The sequence below is a fragment of the Homo sapiens genome, chromosome 11 (assembly GCF_000001405.40).
Source record: "Homo sapiens chromosome 11, GRCh38.p14 Primary Assembly".
Taxonomy (NCBI): Eukaryota; Metazoa; Chordata; class Mammalia; order Primates; family Hominidae; genus Homo; species Homo sapiens.
The window spans coordinates 72,967,463-72,988,249 of NC_000011.10; the positions used below are offsets into that span (position 1 = coordinate 72,967,463).

Consider the following 20,787-nt stretch of genomic DNA (forward strand, 5'->3'; position numbering starts at 1 on the left):
ACAACATGAATGAACCTTGAAAACATGCAAAGTGAAACAGTCTAGACACAAATGGGCCACATATTGTATGATTCCATTTATATGAAATGACCATTAAGAGGAAAATTCAGAGACAGAAAGCAGATTAGTGGTTGCCAGGAACTAGGGAGTAGGGAGAACACAAAATGACAGCCAATGGGGTATAGAGCTTTTTTGGGGGATAACAGAAATGTTCTGGAATGAGATAGTGGTGATGGTTGTACAACCTAGTAAATATAATAAAACCACTGAATTTTACATTTTAAAACGGTGAGTTTTATGGTATGTGAATTATATCTAATTTTTTTTAAAAAGAAGTGGGCAGAGAGGCTGGGTGCGGGTGGCTCATGCCTGTAATCTCAGCACTTTGGGAGGCCGAGGCGGGCGGATCACGAGGTCAGGAGATTGAGACCATCCTGGCTAACGCGGTGAATCCCCATCTCTACTAACAATACAAAAAATTAGCCGGGTATGGTGGCGGGCACCTGTAGTCCCAGCTACTCAGGAGGCTGAGGCAGGAGAACGGCGTGAACCTGGGAGGTGGAGCTTGCAGTGAGCCGAGATCGCACCACTGCACTCCAGCCTGGGCAACAGAGCAAGACTCTGTCTCAAAAAAAAAAAAAAAGAAGTGGGCAGAGAACAGAGCATATAAGGCCTTTGGAATTATCTTGAGGTTTTCCAATTTTATCCTAAGGGCGATAAGAAGCCACTGAAGGTTTTATGTAGGGTACAATGTAGATGCTCCAAAATTACTTTCTGAACAAATGAAAATAATTACAGATAAATAACACTGGTACTCTGTCCTTAAGACTGATAGATCTTTGCCTTTTAATTTGAAACTATAATTTATCATTCTGTTTCCTAGAAAATACCTTCAGGTTGACCTAAGCTTTTGTTCAGAAACGGTTACTCCTCTCCAGAGGCTATTTTTCAGATGTGCTATCTTACCTGTAGTTATGTCTTGATGTCTCATTGAAAGATAATCCATGAGGACTAACCAGGGCTGGGATTCCAATACATAGGATCAGAATAACTGTGGCACATGTATCTTAATGGAGAGCCCTGAAGAGGAACTCTTCTTGCCAAATAATACATATTTCCAATTATGCTGACAGATGATAAATTACAATATCCATAAATGGGGGGTTATTCTGATTTCCAAAATGATAGTGCTGGCATGGAATTTCAGAAGCCCTGCAAACTTTCTCTGTTCTTGGCAGGGTTAAAGGCTATAAACTATATACCCCATGAGCATAAGGCCTGCTTACAGAAGTCAGGATGCTCTGACCAGTCATCCTCACTCCAGAGACCAGCAGTGCTTCTGTGTACCCAAGGTTCATCCTTTGACCAACACTTCTCCTTGGTGCTTTAATGGTTTTATTATAGTAACATTAAAAGATATTTCTATAAATTGGTAAACAAAACAAAAATAAAACCCAGTTATCCTTTCCTTCAAAACTGATAGGTAATAATATTAAGGCTTTGTCCAGTGATTCATCTTATATGAAAAACATGGTTTTAATGATATACACACATATATACATATGCTACTACCTTTCATATAGATTTTCTTTGAAATCAATTTAAAATAGTATACCTGGGGTATCACTTAGGTGGCTGGTCTTCTCAGACTCCAGATGTCTCCTCCTCATTGTCAGCACTAAGTTAATACTTGAACTGTCCAGTGTAGCCATGTCAAAATCAGTGTTAACAGTCTACCTACTCCCTTCAAAAACCTTATGAGAGACGGAGCTGCATTCCAATGTTTATTATCTTCACCTACAGACTTTCTCCCTCTTGGATCATGTTAGAATGGTTTCATTTAATTTAATTTGGCTTTAAGTTATTTATATCAGGAATAAAAATCGGATTAGAACTGTGCAGAAAAGCTAGTTGGCATTTAGGTTTTGCCACCTCAGTTAATTTTTTAGAGTATGTGTCTGAGAAAGAAAGAGAAAAACACTGAGAGGGACAGAGACAAAAAGATGAATCTTTGTCTTAATTTTTTGAGGGTAGAGAGTATTTGTCCCATTTCCTTACTTCTTTGTGTGCCTTGCACAAAGTGGAACTTTAGGCAAAATTATCCTCCTTTAAGACACCACAGAATACAAGAAGCATCGAAGATATAAAAAACATTAAAAGACTAGAAAAAAGCCCAAATGTTAGAATCAATGAAATACGGTATGTTTTGACTAGTTAATTTAATAAGAAAACAAATAAAATGGCTTAACATGCAATTAAGTCAGAAATTATAAAGCCATGTCTGAAAATAGAGTTCAGCAAACTCCACACTATGTTATTTGTGATAAAGAAGCAAAATTCTTAGGCTTAAGTGATTTATTGGATGAAGTTTAAACACACACATTGGTTATGCTAGGTACAACACGACCAAATACACACAAGTGAGACCTGACCCTCATTATTACAGGAATAGGGGACTGGGCTCAGAAAAAGACTTGTCTGTGGCCAGGGACTATTTTAATCTGTGACTAAGCACCTCAGTGATGGAATATCATCTTTATTGTATTTTGTGACATGATTACATCAGCCTGAGAACCACAATCAACAGTCATCAGAATACCAGTAAAATGAACCCAACTTGCTGTTTCAAAGTGGTTTGAAAAAGAAAACTAGAGGGAGGTACTTGATAAATGACTGATAAAGCAAGAAAACTCACTAAAGCCACAAATGGCTAAGAATGTTGAACAGATAATACATATACCACTTCCTTTCTTAACCCCAAAATTAATGCTAACAGTGCTCACCACCTCAAGTTTTTAACCAACAATAAATATTACAGAATCTAAGAACACTACCAAAACCTAACAGTCTACAATCCAGTGAGTAAAAATACTTACAATTCTAATGTATGAAAATTGTCTTTTATCTAAAAGCCCTACAATAAAAGGTAATGGAAAAATATCATGTGTTATAGAAAACTGCATTTAAAACTAAGATAACAAATAATCATGTGTTCACATTTTAACCTGGTTGGTTTTAAAAAATCAAAGCTACTTTAGTGGCATTTTAGAATTCTTTCCTCAAGGTCAAATTTTTTTCAACCTCACTTAAAAACTATTGCTAGCACTCTCATGGCTCTCTCCAAGATTAATGGAGCCACTGGTTTCTTCTGTGCATTACTTTCACTCCCCTTTTCATAAAAGTCCATCCCTGTGAAATGCCACTGTCTGCTGCCACAGCCTGCCGACATCCCACTCACATACAAAGCCTGGTGAGATGCGAATTCTTCTATGAAGAAAAGACTTCCATGAAGAAAGGCCGCTGAACCTCTCCTTTCTCACTCATTTAACACCAATTTTGGGGTTAGGTATACAAAATGGGACAAAACATACCCCTAACCCCCACTGCCCTCATATTTGCCTTTGGAACCCAACCACAACATTGTGAGAAAGGCAATACCAAGAAGCCAAGTGCAGAAGCTCCAGCTGACAGCCTCGGGAAGGTCTGAGTCAATAGGCAGCATTAATGAGAAACGTGAGATAGCAAGCCCTCAGAATTCAACCTTCACATTTGAGTTTCTCTAGCTGATGTGAGTGGTACGGAGATAAGTTATCCCTACTGACCCCCCTGCCCAAAGTATAGACTTGAAGGCAAACTAAATGCTGTTGTTTTAAGCCACTGAGCCTTACAGTCATTTGTCATGCAGAGTAACACTATAAGTAACTGGAACAGGTCAAAATATAAAAATCAATCATATGTTTATATATTAATAAAAAGAACTGAAAGGAAAAATTAAAACCTAAATGTTACAGTAACATTGAGAAATATGAAATGCTTAGGAATAAATTTAACAAAATACGTGAAGACTGCTGAAGTAGACAGAACTATAAAATGATCCCAGTGACCCTTGCCCTTGTATAATCCCCTTTCCTTTGAGTGTCAGTAGAACATAATCACTCTTGTGATTATGCTACGTTAAATGGCAAAAGGGAGATTATCTGCGATTACCTAATCACATGAATCTTTAAAAGCAGAGTTTTCTCTAGCTAGTAGCAAAAAAGTCAGAAATTCAAAACATGAACAGGACTGGACACACTACTGCTGGCTTGGTAATGGAGAATTATGTACAAAGGACCTGAGAGCACCTCTAGGAGCTGAGAATGACCCCAGCCTACAGCCAGCAAGAAAACAGAGTTAAGTCCTACAACCAGAAGGAACTGGGTTTTGCCAACAACCTGAATGACCCTGGAAGGAGATTCTTCCCCAGAATCTCCAGATAAGAATGCAGCCAAGGTGACATTTGGATTTTGGCCTTGTGAAACCCTAAGCAGAGAACCTGGCTAAGCCTACTTGGACTTCTGACCTACAGAACTGTGAGATAATAAATGGAGGTAGTTTAAAACGTCTAAGTTTGTGGTGATTTGTTACATAGCAACGGAAATCAAATATAACTGCAAAGGAACGAGAGATAAAAGTTTGGGAGGATAGAAATATTCTAGATATTGATTGCAATTATGATAGTGACAATATGGTTATACATATTTGTCAAAACTCAACCAACCCTATTTTAAAATAGATGCATCTTATTGTATATTAATTGTACCTCAATAAAATTGATTTAAAAAGAGTTAATCTCTTTAAAATTTTCTTCTTATGCCTCTTGTCACCCTATACAATACTCTCGTTAATAGTTTTATGTATTCTCTGCTTCAGTACCCCTCATCTATTGTTGATTCTCCAGCCCAAGACATTAAATTAAACTCTGAAATGAGAATATTCAATTACCTGTTAGACCTGTCCACTGAAGGATGTGAACTGATTACCATGTTTTGATTTATATTTTTATGAGTTTACCTCAAAAAACTCTAAAATTAAGATCATCTAGGTAAAGCTTAGACCTCTATAAGAAATTTGGTAGTTGGAAAATCCTGTCTTAGAACATTTCTTTCCAAACTATATTTCAAGGTGCCCTAGTATTCAGCCTGATGCCTTAGGAACCATGGGAAAGTAGAGGATGTCACAGGCAGGTATAGGGAGTGGGGAAAACACACAAAGAGGAAACAGGCTCACAAACTTTAACCAAATAACTTCCCTTTTATCTGCTTTATATATAAAGATTCCATGTAGGAGTTTGTTTTAAAAAGTTGTTCAACTGCTAAAAATATTTCGAAATAATTACTTTAGAAGTTTGGTAAAGACTTACAAGAAGCATCCTAATTTTATCTTTCTGAGTCACAGGGAACCAATCATAAAATAACCAATGTAGCAGGGAAAGAATCTATTACCCCATATTCCATAAGCCCCTTGTGGGCGGCACCAGAGAATAACCTTGTTTCTGGCTCAATGACAGTATGGATCACATCCAATTCATCTCTGTATCACCAAGTGCCTATCACCTAGTACAAACTCAAATGCTTCCCGAGCTTCAAATGATATGCAAACAATGCTGAAAGGTACAATAAAAGGATTGTAAGCTGGCACTCTTTTGTACAGCTTCTAATGCATACCACTTCTAGGTATATTCCCTTAAGAATCTCTAGCACAAGTGAGCCAGGGAGAATGTACAAGACTGTTGATAACAGCACTGTTTGTAACAGTAAAACAATAAACAACTAAAATTTCCATTAAGAAAATGGGTAAGTTATGGCCGGGCGCGGTGGCTCATGCCTATAATCCCAGCACCTTGGAGGCCAAGGCAGGCGGATCACCTGAGGTCAGGAGTTCAAGACCAGCCTGACCAACATGGAGAAACCCCGTCTCTACTAAAAATACAAAATTAGCTGGGTGTGGTGGCATGTGCCTGTAATCCCAGCTACTCAGGAGGCTGAGGCAGGAGAATCACTTGAACCCAGGAGGCAGAGGTTGTGGTGAGACGAGATCGTGCCATTGCACTCCAGCCTGGGCAACAAGAGGAAAGCTCCATCTCAAAAAAAAAAGAAAGAAAAGAAAAGAAAAGAAAATGGGTAAGTTATTTATGATATATATATACAATGAAATACTATATAGCAAAGATAACAAAGAAAGTTAAAAATTCATACAAATGAATCTCAACAAATACAATGTTGAGTGAGAAAAATGCAAGTTGCATAATATCACAGGGCATGATACTATCTAAGACAACACTATCTATTGTCAGAGTGGTAGTTACAATCTGTTGAACATAAGGGAGATGTTTTGGGAGGGGTCACCTGGGAGATTTCCACTGTACTGAGAGTGTTTCATTTTTGAAGCTTGGTGGTTGGGTAAATGGGTACTCATTTTATTATTTTCAGCATATTTATATAGTTAGAACATTCATAACACAGTTTTTAAAGTTCTATACCAAGGGTGGGCAAACTAAGGCCTGTAGGCCAAATCCAGCCCATCATCCAGCTTTGTAAGTAAAGTTTTACTGGAACATAGCCACATTCATGGCTGCACTGCAACAGCTGAACTGAGTAACCACAACACAGAAGCCTATTTATTATCTGTCCCTTTACAAGAAATGTTTGCCAACCTCTGTTCTTTAACAAGATATAAGTAAAGACCTAGAGTGCAAATGAAGGAGCAATTAATTGTGAAATAATCAAATATAACCAAGTGGTTACTGGGAAAAATGACCAGCAGAGTTGATAACAGACAGGTAAGGGCGGGGGGCGGGATGGAAGAAAACAAAGTTTTGGTCCATTTTCTGTTGCTATAACAGAATACCACAAACTGGGTAATTATAAACAACAGACGTTTATTTGGTTCATGGTTCTCGGGACTGGGAAGTCCAGGTGTAGGGGCCTGTATCTGGCAAGGGCCTTCACGCTGTATCATCCCATGGTAGAAAGCAGAAGAGCAACAGAACACAAGAGGGAAAGTGGAAAGGGGCCAAACTTTTCCTTTTATCAGGAACCCACTCCTGTAATAAATAACTCACTCTCACAACAATGGCAATAATCCATTCATAAGGGCTCTGCCCTCATGACCTAATGACCTTTTAAAAGTCCCACTTCTCAGTATTGTTGCATTGGGAATTAGGTTTCCAACACATGAACTTTAGAGGACACATTCAAACCATAACAAGTAAAAACAAAATAAGCTTTAGAGCACTGCTGTTCAACAGAGTTTTCTAAGATGGCAAAAATGTTCTATATCTGCACTGTCCAACATGGTAGACACTAGTCACATGTGGCCTTTAAGCATTTGAAATATGGCTACTGGGACTGAGAAACAGAATTTTAAAATGCATTTATTTTTAGTTACTTTCAGTATTCACAAGTACCAGTGGTAAAGGCACAAATATGAATAATTAAAGGGCAGGCTGCAGACAGATTTGAGAATCATATGGTATTTATGGGAACTGAGTCAAATGATTACTCTCTCCAAGAAAGAGGGCATTAAAAAAAAAAGGATATAAAGCAAGAGAAGCAGAGATTTAACAGAATTAAAGCAGAATTAAGCAGAATTTAATAGAATTGAAGACTTCCATGCTAATTAATTAAGTAAACAGACATTAGGTGAATCAGAGGTACAAGAGCTAGAGACGACAGAGAAACCAGAAGAGCCACAACTCAAAATAAAAAAGATGAGTTATATACGCCTACATATGAATGAGGAAGATTTTTGGAATTAATGCTTAGCCAGAAAAACCGAAAAAGAACTTGGCTTTCTGTTCCTGGCTTATTTCACTTAACATAATGTCCTCTAGGGTCATCCATGTTATTGCAAATGACAGGATTTCAATCTTCTTTATGGCTGAATAATATTTCATTGTGTATATATACTACATTTTCTTTATCCATTTATCCACTGACGGACATTTAGGTTGATTCCACATCTTAGCTATTGTGAATAGTGCTATAAGACATCTCTTCAACATACTGATTTCCATTCATTTGGATATATATCCAGCAGTAGAGAGTAGATTGGTGGTTACCAGAGGTTGGGAAGGATAGGAAGGTGGGGCCAATGAGAGGTTGGTTAATGGGTATAAAATTACAGTCAGATAGAAGGAATACATTCTACTGTTTAATAGCACAGCAGGGTGACTATAGTTAACAATAATTTATGGTATATTCTAAAACAGGTAGGAGAGAAGATTTGGAAATGTTCTCAACACTCCATGATATATAATAAATATTTGAGATGATGGATATCTCAATTACCCCCATTTGATCCTTACACATTGTACGCATGCATCAAAATATCACACATACACTATAAATATATAGTTATTATGTATCAATTTTAGAAAGGATTTGTATATTAATGTTTTTCTCTTCATTTGATCAAAAAAAGTCTGCAAAAGATAAGTCAAATTATATTTTCTAGATTTCTGCCATACAGAAAGATGTTTATCTTTTATTACTTCACCAAATTATCAACTAGTCAATGTATGTTTGGCTTCCACTGAAGAAATATTTGTCTAGAAATAAATCCTATTAAGAATTACTAAGCTTTTAAAAAATCTTCCATTAAATTGACGTTTGTTCTCTTTTCTACTATGACACACTGTATCTCATTCTTCCTCATCCAAACCACAAAGAAAATATTTCACAAGCTTCTAAAAAATGTTAGTTCATATATTGCACAAGAACATGCTATGAAAAAGGAACATGTGAGGAACAAATTATCTCACCACAAACCAGCTGAGTTGATTTCTGTAGATTTGATGAAATCAGTTATCTGATTTCCAGGGTCTAGCAATAGTTTTTTGTTTGTTTGTTTTAGTTTAGAGTTTAAAGAAATCTGCCTAATAATATACAGACAGAGAAAGATATATTCAGTATCTGCTCTAGTAACTACTGGCATAAGAAATAAATAGTATTTCTTGGGGAATCTGTCCAAATACTTGTATTTAGATATCAACATGAACTTATTCTTTTTATTTCCTTTTTTTAAGAGATGAGGTCTCACTTTGTCACCCAGGCTGGAGTGCTGTGGCAGGATCATAGCTCACTGTAGCCTTCAATTCCTGGGCTCAAGTTATCTTCCCACTTCAGCCTCCTGAGTAGCTGGGACTACAAGCACGTGCTAATTTTTAAATTTTTTTGTAGAGACAAAGTCTCACTATGCTGCCCAGGCTGGTCTCAAACGCTTGGACTCAAGTGATCCTCCCACCCCCGCCTTCCAAAGTGCTGGGATGACAGGTGTAAGCCACTGTGCCAGGCCTGATCTTATTCTTCAGAATAATTAGGCTGGGGAAAAGAAAACTGGAGGAATCACATTACCTAACTTCAAATTATACTACAGAGCTATAGTAACCAAAACAGTATGGTACTGGCATAAAAATAGACTCACAGACCAATGGAACAGAAGACAGAACCCAGAATCAAATCCATACATCTACAGTGAACTCATTTTCAACAATGGTGCTAAGAACATACACTGGGGGAAAAGTGCTGGGAAAACTGGACATCCATATGCAGAAGAATGAAACTAGACCCCTATCTCTCACCATATACAAAAATCAAATCAGAATGAATTAAAGACTTAAATCTAAGACCTCAAACTATGAAACTTTTTTTTTTTTTTTGAGACAGAGTCTTGCTCTGTTGCCCAGGCTGGAGTGCAGTGGCATGATCTCGGCACACTGTGACCTCCACTTCCCGGTTCAAGCGATTCTCCTGCCTCAGCCTCCTGAGTAGCTGGGACTACAGGTGCCCACCACCACACCTGGCTAATTTTTGTATTTTTAGTAGAGACAGCATTTCACCATATTGGCCAGGTGGTCTTGAACTCCTGACCTTGTGATCCACCTGCCTTGGCCTCCCAAAGCGCTGGGATTACAGGTGTGAGCCACTACACCCAGCCCAAAACTATTAAAATAAAGCATTGGGGGAAATTCTCTAAGACACTGGACTGGGCAAAGATTTCTTGAGTAATACCCTGTAAGCACAGGCAATCAAAGCAAAAATGGACAAATGGGATCACATCAAGTTAAAAAACTTCTGCACAGCAAAGTAAACAATCAACAAAGTGCAGAGACAGCCCATGGAATGGTAAAAAATATTTGTAAATTATCCAGTTGACAAGGGATTAATAACCAGAATATATAAGGAGCTCAAACAACTCTATAGGAAAAAAAAATCTAATAATCTGATTTTTAAAATGAGCAAAAGCATCATCACTGGCCATCAGAGAAATGCAAATCAAAACTACAATGAGATACCATCTCACACCAGTTAGAATTTTAGTATATGTGCTGCCGAAGCGAGCACGCTCTCACACCAGTTAGAATGGCAATCACTAAAAAGTCAGGAAACAACAGGTGCTGGAGAGGATGTGAAGAAACAGGAACACTTTTACACTGTTGGTGGGACTGTAAACTAGTTCAACCATTGGGGCGATTCCTCAAGGATCTAGAACTAGAAATACCATTTGACCGAGCAATCCCATTACTGGGTATATACCCAAAGGATTATAAATCATGCTGCTCTGAAGACACATGCACATATATGTTTACTGCAGCACTATTCAAAATAGCAAAGACTTGGAACCAACCCAAATGCCCATCAATGATAGACTGGATTAAGAAAATGTGGCATATACACCATGGAATACTATGCAGTCATAAAAAAGGATGAGTTCATGTCCTTTGTAGGGACATGGATGAAGCTGGAAACCACCATTCTGAGCAAACTACAGCAAGGACAGAAAACCAAACACCACATGTTCTCACTCATAGGTGGGAATTGAACAATGAGAACACTTGGACACAGGGTGGGGAACATCACACACTGGGGCCTGTCATGGGGTGGGGGGAGCGGGGAGGGATAGCGTTAGGAGATATACCTAATGTAAATGACGAGTTAATGGGTACAGCACACCACATGGCACATGTATACATATGTAACAAACCTGCACATTGTGCACATGTACCCCAGAACTTAAAGTATAATAAAAAAAGAAAAATAAATAAATACATAAAAATAAAAAATAAAAATGAGCAAAAAATCTGAATAGACATTTCTCAAAAAAAGTCATATAAATGGCAAGCAGGCATATAAAAAGGTGCTCAATATCATTGACCATCAGAGAAACATAAATCAAAACTATAATTAGATAGCATGTCATCCCAGGTCAAATGACTTTTATCCAAAAGACAGGTGATATGTTTGGCTCTGTGTCCCCACTCAAATCTCATCATCTCAAATTGTAATCCCCATATATCGGGGGAGGGTCCCTGTGGGAGGTGACTGGATTATAGGAGCGATTTCCCTGATGCTGTTCTCATGATTGTGACTGAGTTCTCACGATATCTGATGGTTTAAAAGTGGCACTTCCCCCTTCGCTTCCTCTCTCCTACCCCCATGTCAAGAAGGTACTTGATTCTCCTTTGCCTTCTACCATGATTGTAAGTTTCCTGAGGCCTCCCCAGCCATGCGGAACTGAGTCAATTAACCCTTTCTTCTTCATAAATTACCCAGTCTCAGGTAGCTCTTTCTTTTTTTTTTTTTTTTTTTTGAGATGAAGTCTCACTCTGTCACCCAGGCTGGAGTGCAGTGGTGCGATCTCAGCTCACTGCAACCTCCACCTCTCAGGTTCAAGCGATTCTCGTGCCTCAGCCTCCCTGAGTAGCTGGGACTACAAGTGCATGCCTCCACACACAGCTAATTTTTTGTATTTTTAGTAGAGATGGATTTTCACCATGTTGGCAGGCTGGTCTCAAACTCCTGACCTCAGGTGATCTGCCCACCTCGGCCTCCCAAGGTGCTGGGATTATGGGTGTAAGTCACCATGCCCGGCCACAGGTAGTTCTTTAAAGCAGTGTGAAAACGAACTAATACAACAGGCAATAAAAAATGCTGGTAAGGATGTGGAGAAAACAGAACTCTCATACATTAAAACTACTATGAAAAAATTAAAAGTCCAATAAAAGAAACTGTAAAGTTGAAGAAGTCTCCCAAAAAGTACAACATAATGACAAAGATGGAAAATAAGAAAGAAATGAAATTTAAAGAAGCAAGCTAGGAGATATCATATCTTAATAATGGGAAGTTCCAGAAAGAGAAAACAAAAGGGAAGAATTAATCCAAGAAATCAAAGGGTACACTGAGAATATTCCATAAACTTCTAAAAAAAGAAAAAACAAACAATTAGATCAGATACAAATAATCAAGAACTAGGATGGCTTTGGATTCTCAATACTTACACAGTAAAGAAGAAAACAATGAGGTATGGACTCCAATGTTTCAATGAAAGAGTTTTCAACCTTTAATTCTATATCCAAGTACAAGCAAATAATATGCCATTTTCATAAACATAGTATCTCAAAAAACTTACTTCCCATGCCCACTTTCGCAAGAAGGTACTGGAGGATGTGCTCTACCAAAGGACAGTATAAATCAAGAAAAAAATAAGACATATCATAAAGAAAACTGGAGATCTAACACAACAAAGACATATAGGAAGATCTCAGGATAAATACTTGCATCTGACACAGAGGGCAACTAGTCCAGATTAGAAGAATGTAACTCAAAAGACAGTCATAATGAGGGTTGTTATCACCAAGATAACTGCTAATGTAAGAACAGAATGTCCAGGAAATACGAAAAGAACATAAAATAATTGTTTTGTTCCCTAAGAAGGCAGGAGGGGATGAGATATAATCCAAAGCTGAGGTGAAAAGATCACCTTTAGACAGGAACAACTGCTACTGAGACTCTGGAAGAGTCTTCAACACAGATGAAGTGGACAATATTGAAGCTGTCTTCCAACGGTTTCTATCGTCTCTGTAAATTAGGAAGAAAACCCACTTGCTAAGCATAAAAGAGAAGGGGTAAGTTTGAGGTTTGAAGAGGGGGGAAAAGTTGAAATAACTGTTAAAAATAGTAGGAAAAGTTAACTAGGGAAAAGACAGTAGGCCATCTAAGCAGTGTTGAAACTGCTGCACTGGTTTCTCTATTAATTTATGATCATGAATCTGCTCCGTCGAAACTTTTCTTCAGCAGTACTTGGCTGCTTAGATACAGATTATCCAGTTATGGGGGCTCATCAGAGTTACAATTTCATTTCATTTGAAGAAGGGCAAAGATAAGAATATAAGTTAGAGTATTATTTAAATAATGAGCTATGAACTTTAACGAGGATAACAAAGAAAATGAGAAAGGATAACATGTATTAAATGGTTAGGATAATGCCAAGGCAATATTAAGCAATAAAAAAGATAGCTATTATTATTACTAACCACAGTCCTCCAGCAGTAAGTGATTTCCATCACTCTAATTTGCAATCATGTATATATGTATGTGTATGTGTGTGTGTGTATATATATATATATATATATAATGTATGTATGTATATATATGTATGTGTATATATATGTATATATGTGTGTGTATATATATGTGTATGTATATATATACATCTCACTCTCTTCTACCATATTGAGCTCTTTGAGGATAAGTAGTATGTCTTACTCATCTGTCTCTTCCCAAAGCCTAACTCAGTAGTTAGCATGCTGTAAGAGGCTCTTAAATGTGTATGATTAAACCAACAAATCAAATACCCTGCTTTTAAGCTACCCATATAGGGCATTATCACCTTAACATTAATTCAGAAAAATAGATATTTCCTTAACATTAATTCAGAAAAACAGATATTTTCAAGAAAGGCATCTAAGGGCCACTGACAATTCAATGGTGGAAATTTACTAAGTAGCTAACAGCATGATTGATAGGAGTTTTCCTGTACTGCAGACTATAGAATTAGCATGAGGAAGAAAATGAGTTAATGTACAGTACATGAAAACTGAAAGTATGTTTTCTCATTTTTAAGGGGCAGGAGGGACCAACCCCTGCCTCTATTTTTAATCAGTTTAGTACCCCACAATGTTTCATTAAATGAATACTCCAAAGCATGACCTACCCAATGCTGATCAAATATATGCATAAAGACTTCAAAGTAAGTTCGAGAACATATATTAATCTGTGAGCTGGCCAGGCCCTTTAACTTCCTCTTTGCTTTAGGCAGAGAGCAGATCCCCCAAATAAGAATGTACTTTCTCTGGTTTATTGAAGGCCATCTTTTTTAGCTGTAGATCCAATAGAAAAAAAATAGGATTTTATTTTTGCTGTTGCTTAAGTTAATATAATGTTCATTTAAAAATATTCATAGGGAAAAATATACAGCTTTGATATAATAGTAGACATATATAGAATATAGTGAATTACAACCTTAAGTGCGAGCTGTGCTAAAAATCATCTTTAGTAAATGTGTTCTTTGAAACTGTTGGTCCTTGTAAGTCTGAAGCACTATGTAATACCTAATACGATACTAAAACCAGCCAGGCCCAGTAGCTCACCCCTATAATCCCAGCATTTTGGGAGGCTGAGGTGGGAGGATCTCTTAAGCCCAGGAGTTAAAGAATAGCCTGGGCAACAAAGTGAGACCACGCCTCTGCGAAAATAAAAATTAAGAAATTAGCTGGGTATGGTGGCAGGCACCTGTGGTCCTAGCTACATGGGAGGCTGAGGCAAGAGGATCCCTTGAGACCAGGAGGTTCAGGTTGCAGTGAGCCATGTTCAAGCCACTGCACTCTAGCCTGTTATGACAGAGCGAGACCCTGTCTCAAAAACTATATATACTAAAACACCTAAACCTCTAGGTCTAATACTTTATGGAAAATATATGCAGAGTTTTCATCTGAGATGACAAAACAGTTCCTTGTCTCTATATTTTCTAACCTGTATTCTAATAAGCAGAAGTCACAACAGAAGCTAGGAAAAGGGGATTTCAGGCAGTGAACAAAAAGGAAAGAAAAAACGTTTTTGCAATAGGATACTTCTTAGTCCAGTTTGACTCCCTTCAACACTCTTGTTTTTGCCTGAAGGTCCCGAGAACTGTCCCATCTCTACTTTCAAGGAAAGAACTTGCAGTTTCTGGCCAGAGTTGACCTCTTTTCCAGAGCTACTGCAGAAAAAAGAGCACCTGCTCTGGCTGCATCCCCATTCACAATTGCTGATTTGTAAATTAAGCAATTCGACTACAGCAATGTGTGTGTTTGTTAGTCATTAAGAACAATACATTTGAGGGGGATGGGTTGAAAATAAGAAAAAACAAAATGATAAAATGTTTGGGTTTTGGGAAAACAGGAAAGAATGACAGATACAATCCAAAGCAGAGCTTGCCTGTCAGCAACAAGGGAGAAACCTGGCAACAGATTACAAAGGTTTCCTTTTCCTCTACTATCTTCTCTTTATTTCAGTGAAAGTTAAAGACACATCATAGGTGGTATAAACAGGGAAATGCTAGATCAAGTTTGGGTACACAAACTGTAATCTAATCTATCTGCATTTCAGAGTAATACCCAGAGGACAGACATCTTCATATAGCTACTGAACATACTCTTTTGTTTGTCCCGTACGCAGCTCAAAATCATCAAATAGTAATGTGCAATTTTACCCATAAATTCAGGATAAACGTAATGAAATTTTTTAAAAATCTAAGTTTTTTTAGAAATAAAAAATAGCCAAGCACAATGGCTCACACCTGTAATCCCAGCATTTTGGGAAGCTTAGGAGGGAGGATCACTTGAAGCCAGGAGTTTGAGGCCAGCCTGGTCAACATAGCAAGACTCTTGTTTCTAAAAATAAAAGAAAGGGGCCGGGCGCGGTGGCTCATGCCTGTAATCCCAGCACTTTGGGAGGCTGAGGCGGGCGGATCACGAGGTCAGGAGATCGAGACCATCCCGGCTAAAACGGTGAAACCCCGTCTCTACTAAAAATACAAAAAATTAGCTGGGCGTAGTGGCGGGCGCCTGTAGTCCCAGCTACTTGGGAGGCTGAGGCAGGAGAATGGCGTGAACCCGGGAGGCGGAGCTTGCAGTGAGCCGAGATCCCGCCACTGCACTCCAGCCTGGGCGACAGAGCGAGACTCCGTCTCAAAAAAAAAAAAAAATAAATAAAAGAAAGGTGCCAGGCATGGTAGCATGCACCTGGATCCCAGCTACTCAGGAGGATGAGGCGGGAGGATTGCTTGAGCCTGGCAGTTCAAGGCTGCAGTGAGCCGTGATCATCACTGCACTCTAGCCTGGACAACAGAGCGAGACCTTGTCTCTAAAAAATTAAAATTAAAAAAAGCTTCATAATTATCATTAGACATAGTTGTGGCCAAAATTGTAGTTAATAAAAAATTCAGGCTAAGAGATACACTATAAAAATATATTTTTAATAGAAATATTCTTTTGCATAAAACTTTTCTTATAAAAATTTTTCAAAAAATACAGATACAATCTAACAAAAATTATGCTAAAATGTCTTTCTCCGATGATTCAGAAGATACCTGAAGATTCTGCCTAGCTTCAATAATTTATTGAAACCATGACATGAGTCTCATAAAATAGCTCAGAAGTAGTTTCCCAGTTTGAGTCATTATTTTATTTCTTACATCACTCTTGTATCTTCTACATCAATAACCACTAGATAACAAATGTTTGCCGCACCTAGGGAATAATATAATCCTTTACTGTGACTTGTCTGTAAACATTTTCTTAACTAAAAATTAATTCCAAATTATCTGAAACAGATGCTATCCAAACAATAACAAGTATATTCCAATGAGATGCAACATAGCCTGGCTACTCTTTTATAGATTCAATCCCATAAACCCAACACCCAACTTAAGTTGTTTTTGTTTTCAATGAAGTAAAATTACCATAGATATGAAAGCTGTATTACCTTCATAATGTTAACTAAATCTGTTTGATAGTAGCGATCCTGATGTGCATTTGCTGCCGCTAGGGTAAGAAGATAATCATTCCTTGCGTGGGTAGCTTTGGAATTACACTCAGATCGCCGGGCTTTTAACTAAAACATAGCAAAATAAAATAATCAGTGCAAACTGATATTGTACTGCAAAACACATAGGAATCCTACTCTTAGTTTGCAATTAATGGCTCCCCAACAAGAATAAAGGTAACCACGTGCGGAAAACATTTATACGTATATAAAAATTATTCATCACTACTAAGGAATGAAACAGTGACTAGAACTGTTATACAGGGCAGGAGCATTTTCAAATATTTGCTTAACATACTTCTAAAGCTTTGTAGATAACTTAAAAATATTTTGCCCATTTATTCAAATGACTAAATAAAGGTTCTGAAATAAGTACCTTATCTTCAAAGGTATGGGTAAAATCTAGTGGAGTTAGAAAACAGTTTTTTAAAAATCAGCACTCCTAATGTGCCAGATGAACTGCATGCTAGTTTGAAGCCTGGCAGCCACAGCCAGGTCTCTAAGCTTACTTAATCAGGCATTCCACAGTGTGAAGTTTCCGAAGGAAAAACTCACTCACATCTGGCCCAGAATATCACTCAGGGGTCTAAATCTAAACGAAATAGATTTTGTAGAGCTTTCCAAAGCCCCCGGATTAAGTCTCTTGGACTAAGAGCTAAAGACAACAGGCTGCCTAAGCAGGTAAGGTCCAGAAACTTATCCCTAATGCAGTCTTGAGAAGCAAGTGTGTCCAAGGTGTTGACAGCTGGGTGCAAAACCCCCATGAACTGGGAGGGAAAGTTCCTCCCTGAGTCAGTGACTTTAAAATGCTTCTCTAAGGTAGAAATAATCCACCTCCACCCTCAAAGATCCAATTCTCTGTTTTACAAGCTAAGAGGTTTCTCAGTTGTGAAATACACTTATTGAAAACTTACCTTTACACTTGCCTTCTGTAAACTGATTCTTGATTGAAAAAGACTAAGTTTAGATCTATAATAAAAATAGAAAAGTATGTTTAATAAAATCATCTAATTATATCACAATAAAATTACTAAATATATTATTAAAATTTAAAAATAATCTTTTTTGAAGATACTGCTCTAAAAAAGAATGAAAAAATGGAAAACCAAGAGTAATGATTATTTTCCTTTATTTTACTACAGGAAGAATTTATTATCATGGTAAAACAGGAAATACTGGGATTAATATAAGACAAATATCCAGAATGACCAAAAAAAAAAAAAAAAAAACTTGACCAAAAAAAAATCAAAATATATTGGTGTCTCCTAATAAACAAGAGCCATCAAATTATAGACTATTCTCAGTACCATACAACTTCATACACTTTAGTTCCTGCAAAGGTTAGAGAGACCCAGGGACAATCAACCTATGGAGGCAAGCGTCAGCAAACTTTCAGGGCTGTGTGTGAAAGACTCTAACAATAGGCTCTATGAAGTCCTTACTTCTATTATTTCCACCATTAAAAGTACTTCTTGTTTGGGTACCTGCCTGTGTGCCTCCTCTGCTCTAAGGGGGTATTCTGAACTTACTGAGAAAGTCCTGGGACTCTGCCCTGTATGATGTAATCTTCTCCCACTCTTGGGTTCTTATTTCCCTTGATCCTTTTTCAGTTTGGGAGAGTAACCATAATCTAACAATAGGTAGTACAAACATGTTGATTTTACCCAAACAGCTGCAGATAACCATATGGAGAAAGTCAACAGACAAATGCTAGGGAACAAGCAACACTCCCAGGACCAGTGATTTTTTTTTTAAAGCTGCAATGTTTGTCCTGACTTCAGTGTCAGGGTGATTTCCATGAGAGAATTCAATACATGTGTTGGCAGCTGTGCCTCATGAAGTAAAGTTGCTGGCCAGTTTGGGACTGGATGATGGAGCAGTTAGTCTTTGCAAAGCCAGTGTGAAGAGGATAGGAAAAGCAGCCTCTTATTTTTCTAACAAGAGAAAACATTCAGGGATGAACACATATGCAGCCCAACTACTTCCCCATTGTTAAAAAAATTGGGTTTAAAAGATTCCTGTTATTTTTTACCTTGTCATAGTCATATTTCATAATTACTTTATTTTATTTATTTATTTAGAGACGGAGTCTCGCTCTGTTGCCCAGGTCGGAGTGCAGTGGCGTGATCTCTGCTCACTGCAACCTCTGCCTCCTGGGTTCATGCCATTCTCCTGCCTCAGCCTCCCGAGTAGCTGGGACTACAGGCGCCTGCCACCACGCCCAGCTAATTTTTTGTATTTTTAGTAGAGACGGGGTTTCACCATGTTAGCCAGGATGGTCTCAATCTCCTGACCTTGTAATCCACCCGCCTCGGCCTCCCAAAGTGCTGGGATTACAGGCGTGAGCCACCGTGCCCGGCCCCAATTATTTTACTTTTATTAATCATATTCCTGTTTATTTTATCTAGAAAAGTAAAGGCCACAAACTCAAATCTCTAAGAAAGCCTTTTCAGAATAAGACTGTGTTTGGGGATATTCCCAGTTCTCCTTTTTTTACAGTCATTACCCAAATAGGCTGAGTTGCATGTAGATCTTCCAATATAAGGTTTTAAATTTCTGGCTTCTGCTTTATTTCCTAATCCTAATATACTTCTTGTGTAGTATTAAGGTAGGTATTAGTGATAGATAGAATAAAATAGTACCTGTTCTCAAACATTTCAATCTAGAAAAAATAAGGCAGGATTTTTACACCCAAACACTACACAAATAATGAACTATACCGCGTGCTACTCTTTACCACCTACCCTTCAAAATTAATGTTCCTTGGGGTTCCAAACTCAACTTCTCATCTATTCTATATACTATGTAACTACCATCTGATAGGCAACTGACCCTCAAAGCGAGATCTTGAGGCCCAAATTCTCATTTAAGTGCCAGATATTTGACTACCTTCCAAACATATTCACCCCAGTGTTTCCCAGGCTCTTCAGAATAAACATATCCAAAATGAAATTCATCATCTCCTTCAAATTGTATCCCTCTTCCTTCTATGGTCTCTCCTAATGTGTGCATCTCCACACCATCTATCAAATCATCTATAAAAACTATAGGTAGTACAGTTTAACTTCCCCTTCCTGATCTTCCTCCTTATCTCTACTTAGAAAATTTATACTCATTCCTCAAGATTCTATCCAAACATCACTTCTTCTATAAAGCTTTCATTTATCATTAGGCAAAATTAACCTCTATATTTTCTAGGCTTTCCTAAAAGTGTTTTCACATTACTACTGCAAGTAAGTTATTAGTTAATATTAAGTGACTTTAGGCACTTGATTTCTTTGAGTTTCTAATTCTAGGCCTTAAATTCCTTGAGGGCACAAAGCTTACCTTACTCATCTCTGTACTCACCATATCCAATATAAAGTATTCAACAAACTGCGAATAAATGAAGATAAAGTGGCATTCCTTACTCTATAGTTGAAAAGTTAATATTAATATGTCTAGCTTGCTGTATCCCCTCTGAATTTGGGTCATGTTAGAAGGCAATTCCTTGTGATCAGCTCTGTGAATCAGACCCTATCAAATCCCCACTTCTCAGAAACGCCCCTCCACTGTGCTCATGTTCATCCTGTGGGCTGTGGCTAAATTATTTGTTTATACATGCTTTACAAATCTGTCAATTCTCTGTTCTAGGATCTCTGAAAGTTTAAGAAAACAAGTTTCTAAAAACGACTATGACAGTATATTCCCAATGGACATCTAATCTAAAAACTTCAGGTCTTATTGAGAAGATGGGTTCACTGACTCTATAAAAGTACAGGAAATATTTGTAGGTTCAAACAATAAAACAATAAATACAATAAAACAAATTAGAGAAATATTAAATGTGTTTTCCTGTAACATCAAGTCCTTCATGAATACTCACTTACCAGCCCTTGATAAACCGCGGAGCCCCTGAATTTTCACAAGTTGCTTATAAGGTTGCTTACATTTCTTGTGAATAAAAACTGTATTAGAAAGATAGCCCCCTCCTTACTGGTCTGTTTGTACAGGTGTTCAAAGCCTTTCTGATATTATGATTAGGAGTTCAGACTCCTAGATTTTGCATCAGTCAGCACACTGACCCTGAGTCTCAGCTCTCCTTCTCACAGATGTCTTCAGA

The 20,787-nt window shown here is 37.7% G+C and overlaps 1 protein-coding gene across 5 annotated transcripts in view, besides 1 other annotated feature; it reads right to left on the bottom strand.

Annotated features, from left to right (window-relative positions):
- FCHSD2 (FCH and double SH3 domains 2) overlaps positions 1 to 20,787 on the bottom strand; it is a 305,574-nt gene that overhangs the window by 130,718 nt on the left and 154,069 nt on the right. For all 5 annotated transcript variants that reach the window (NM_014824.3, XM_011545409.2, XM_011545410.3 and 2 more), the window contains 2 exons: positions 17,600 to 17,654; positions 16,626 to 16,754 (listed from right to left, as the gene is read on the bottom strand). In NM_014824.3, the coding sequence (NP_055639.2) occupies positions 16,626 to 16,754; positions 17,600 to 17,654 (184 nt within the window). The remainder of the gene's footprint in view (positions 1 to 16,625; positions 16,755 to 17,599; positions 17,655 to 20,787) is intronic.
- Positions 18,249 to 18,449: a silencer, noted in NCBI's record as "peak1347 fragment used in MPRA reporter construct". NCBI's record gives its function as "represses an SCP1 promoter by STARR-seq MPRAs in K562 erythroleukemia cells {active_cell/tissue: K562}" and the evidence as "EXISTENCE:reporter gene assay evidence [ECO:0000049][PMID:32103011]".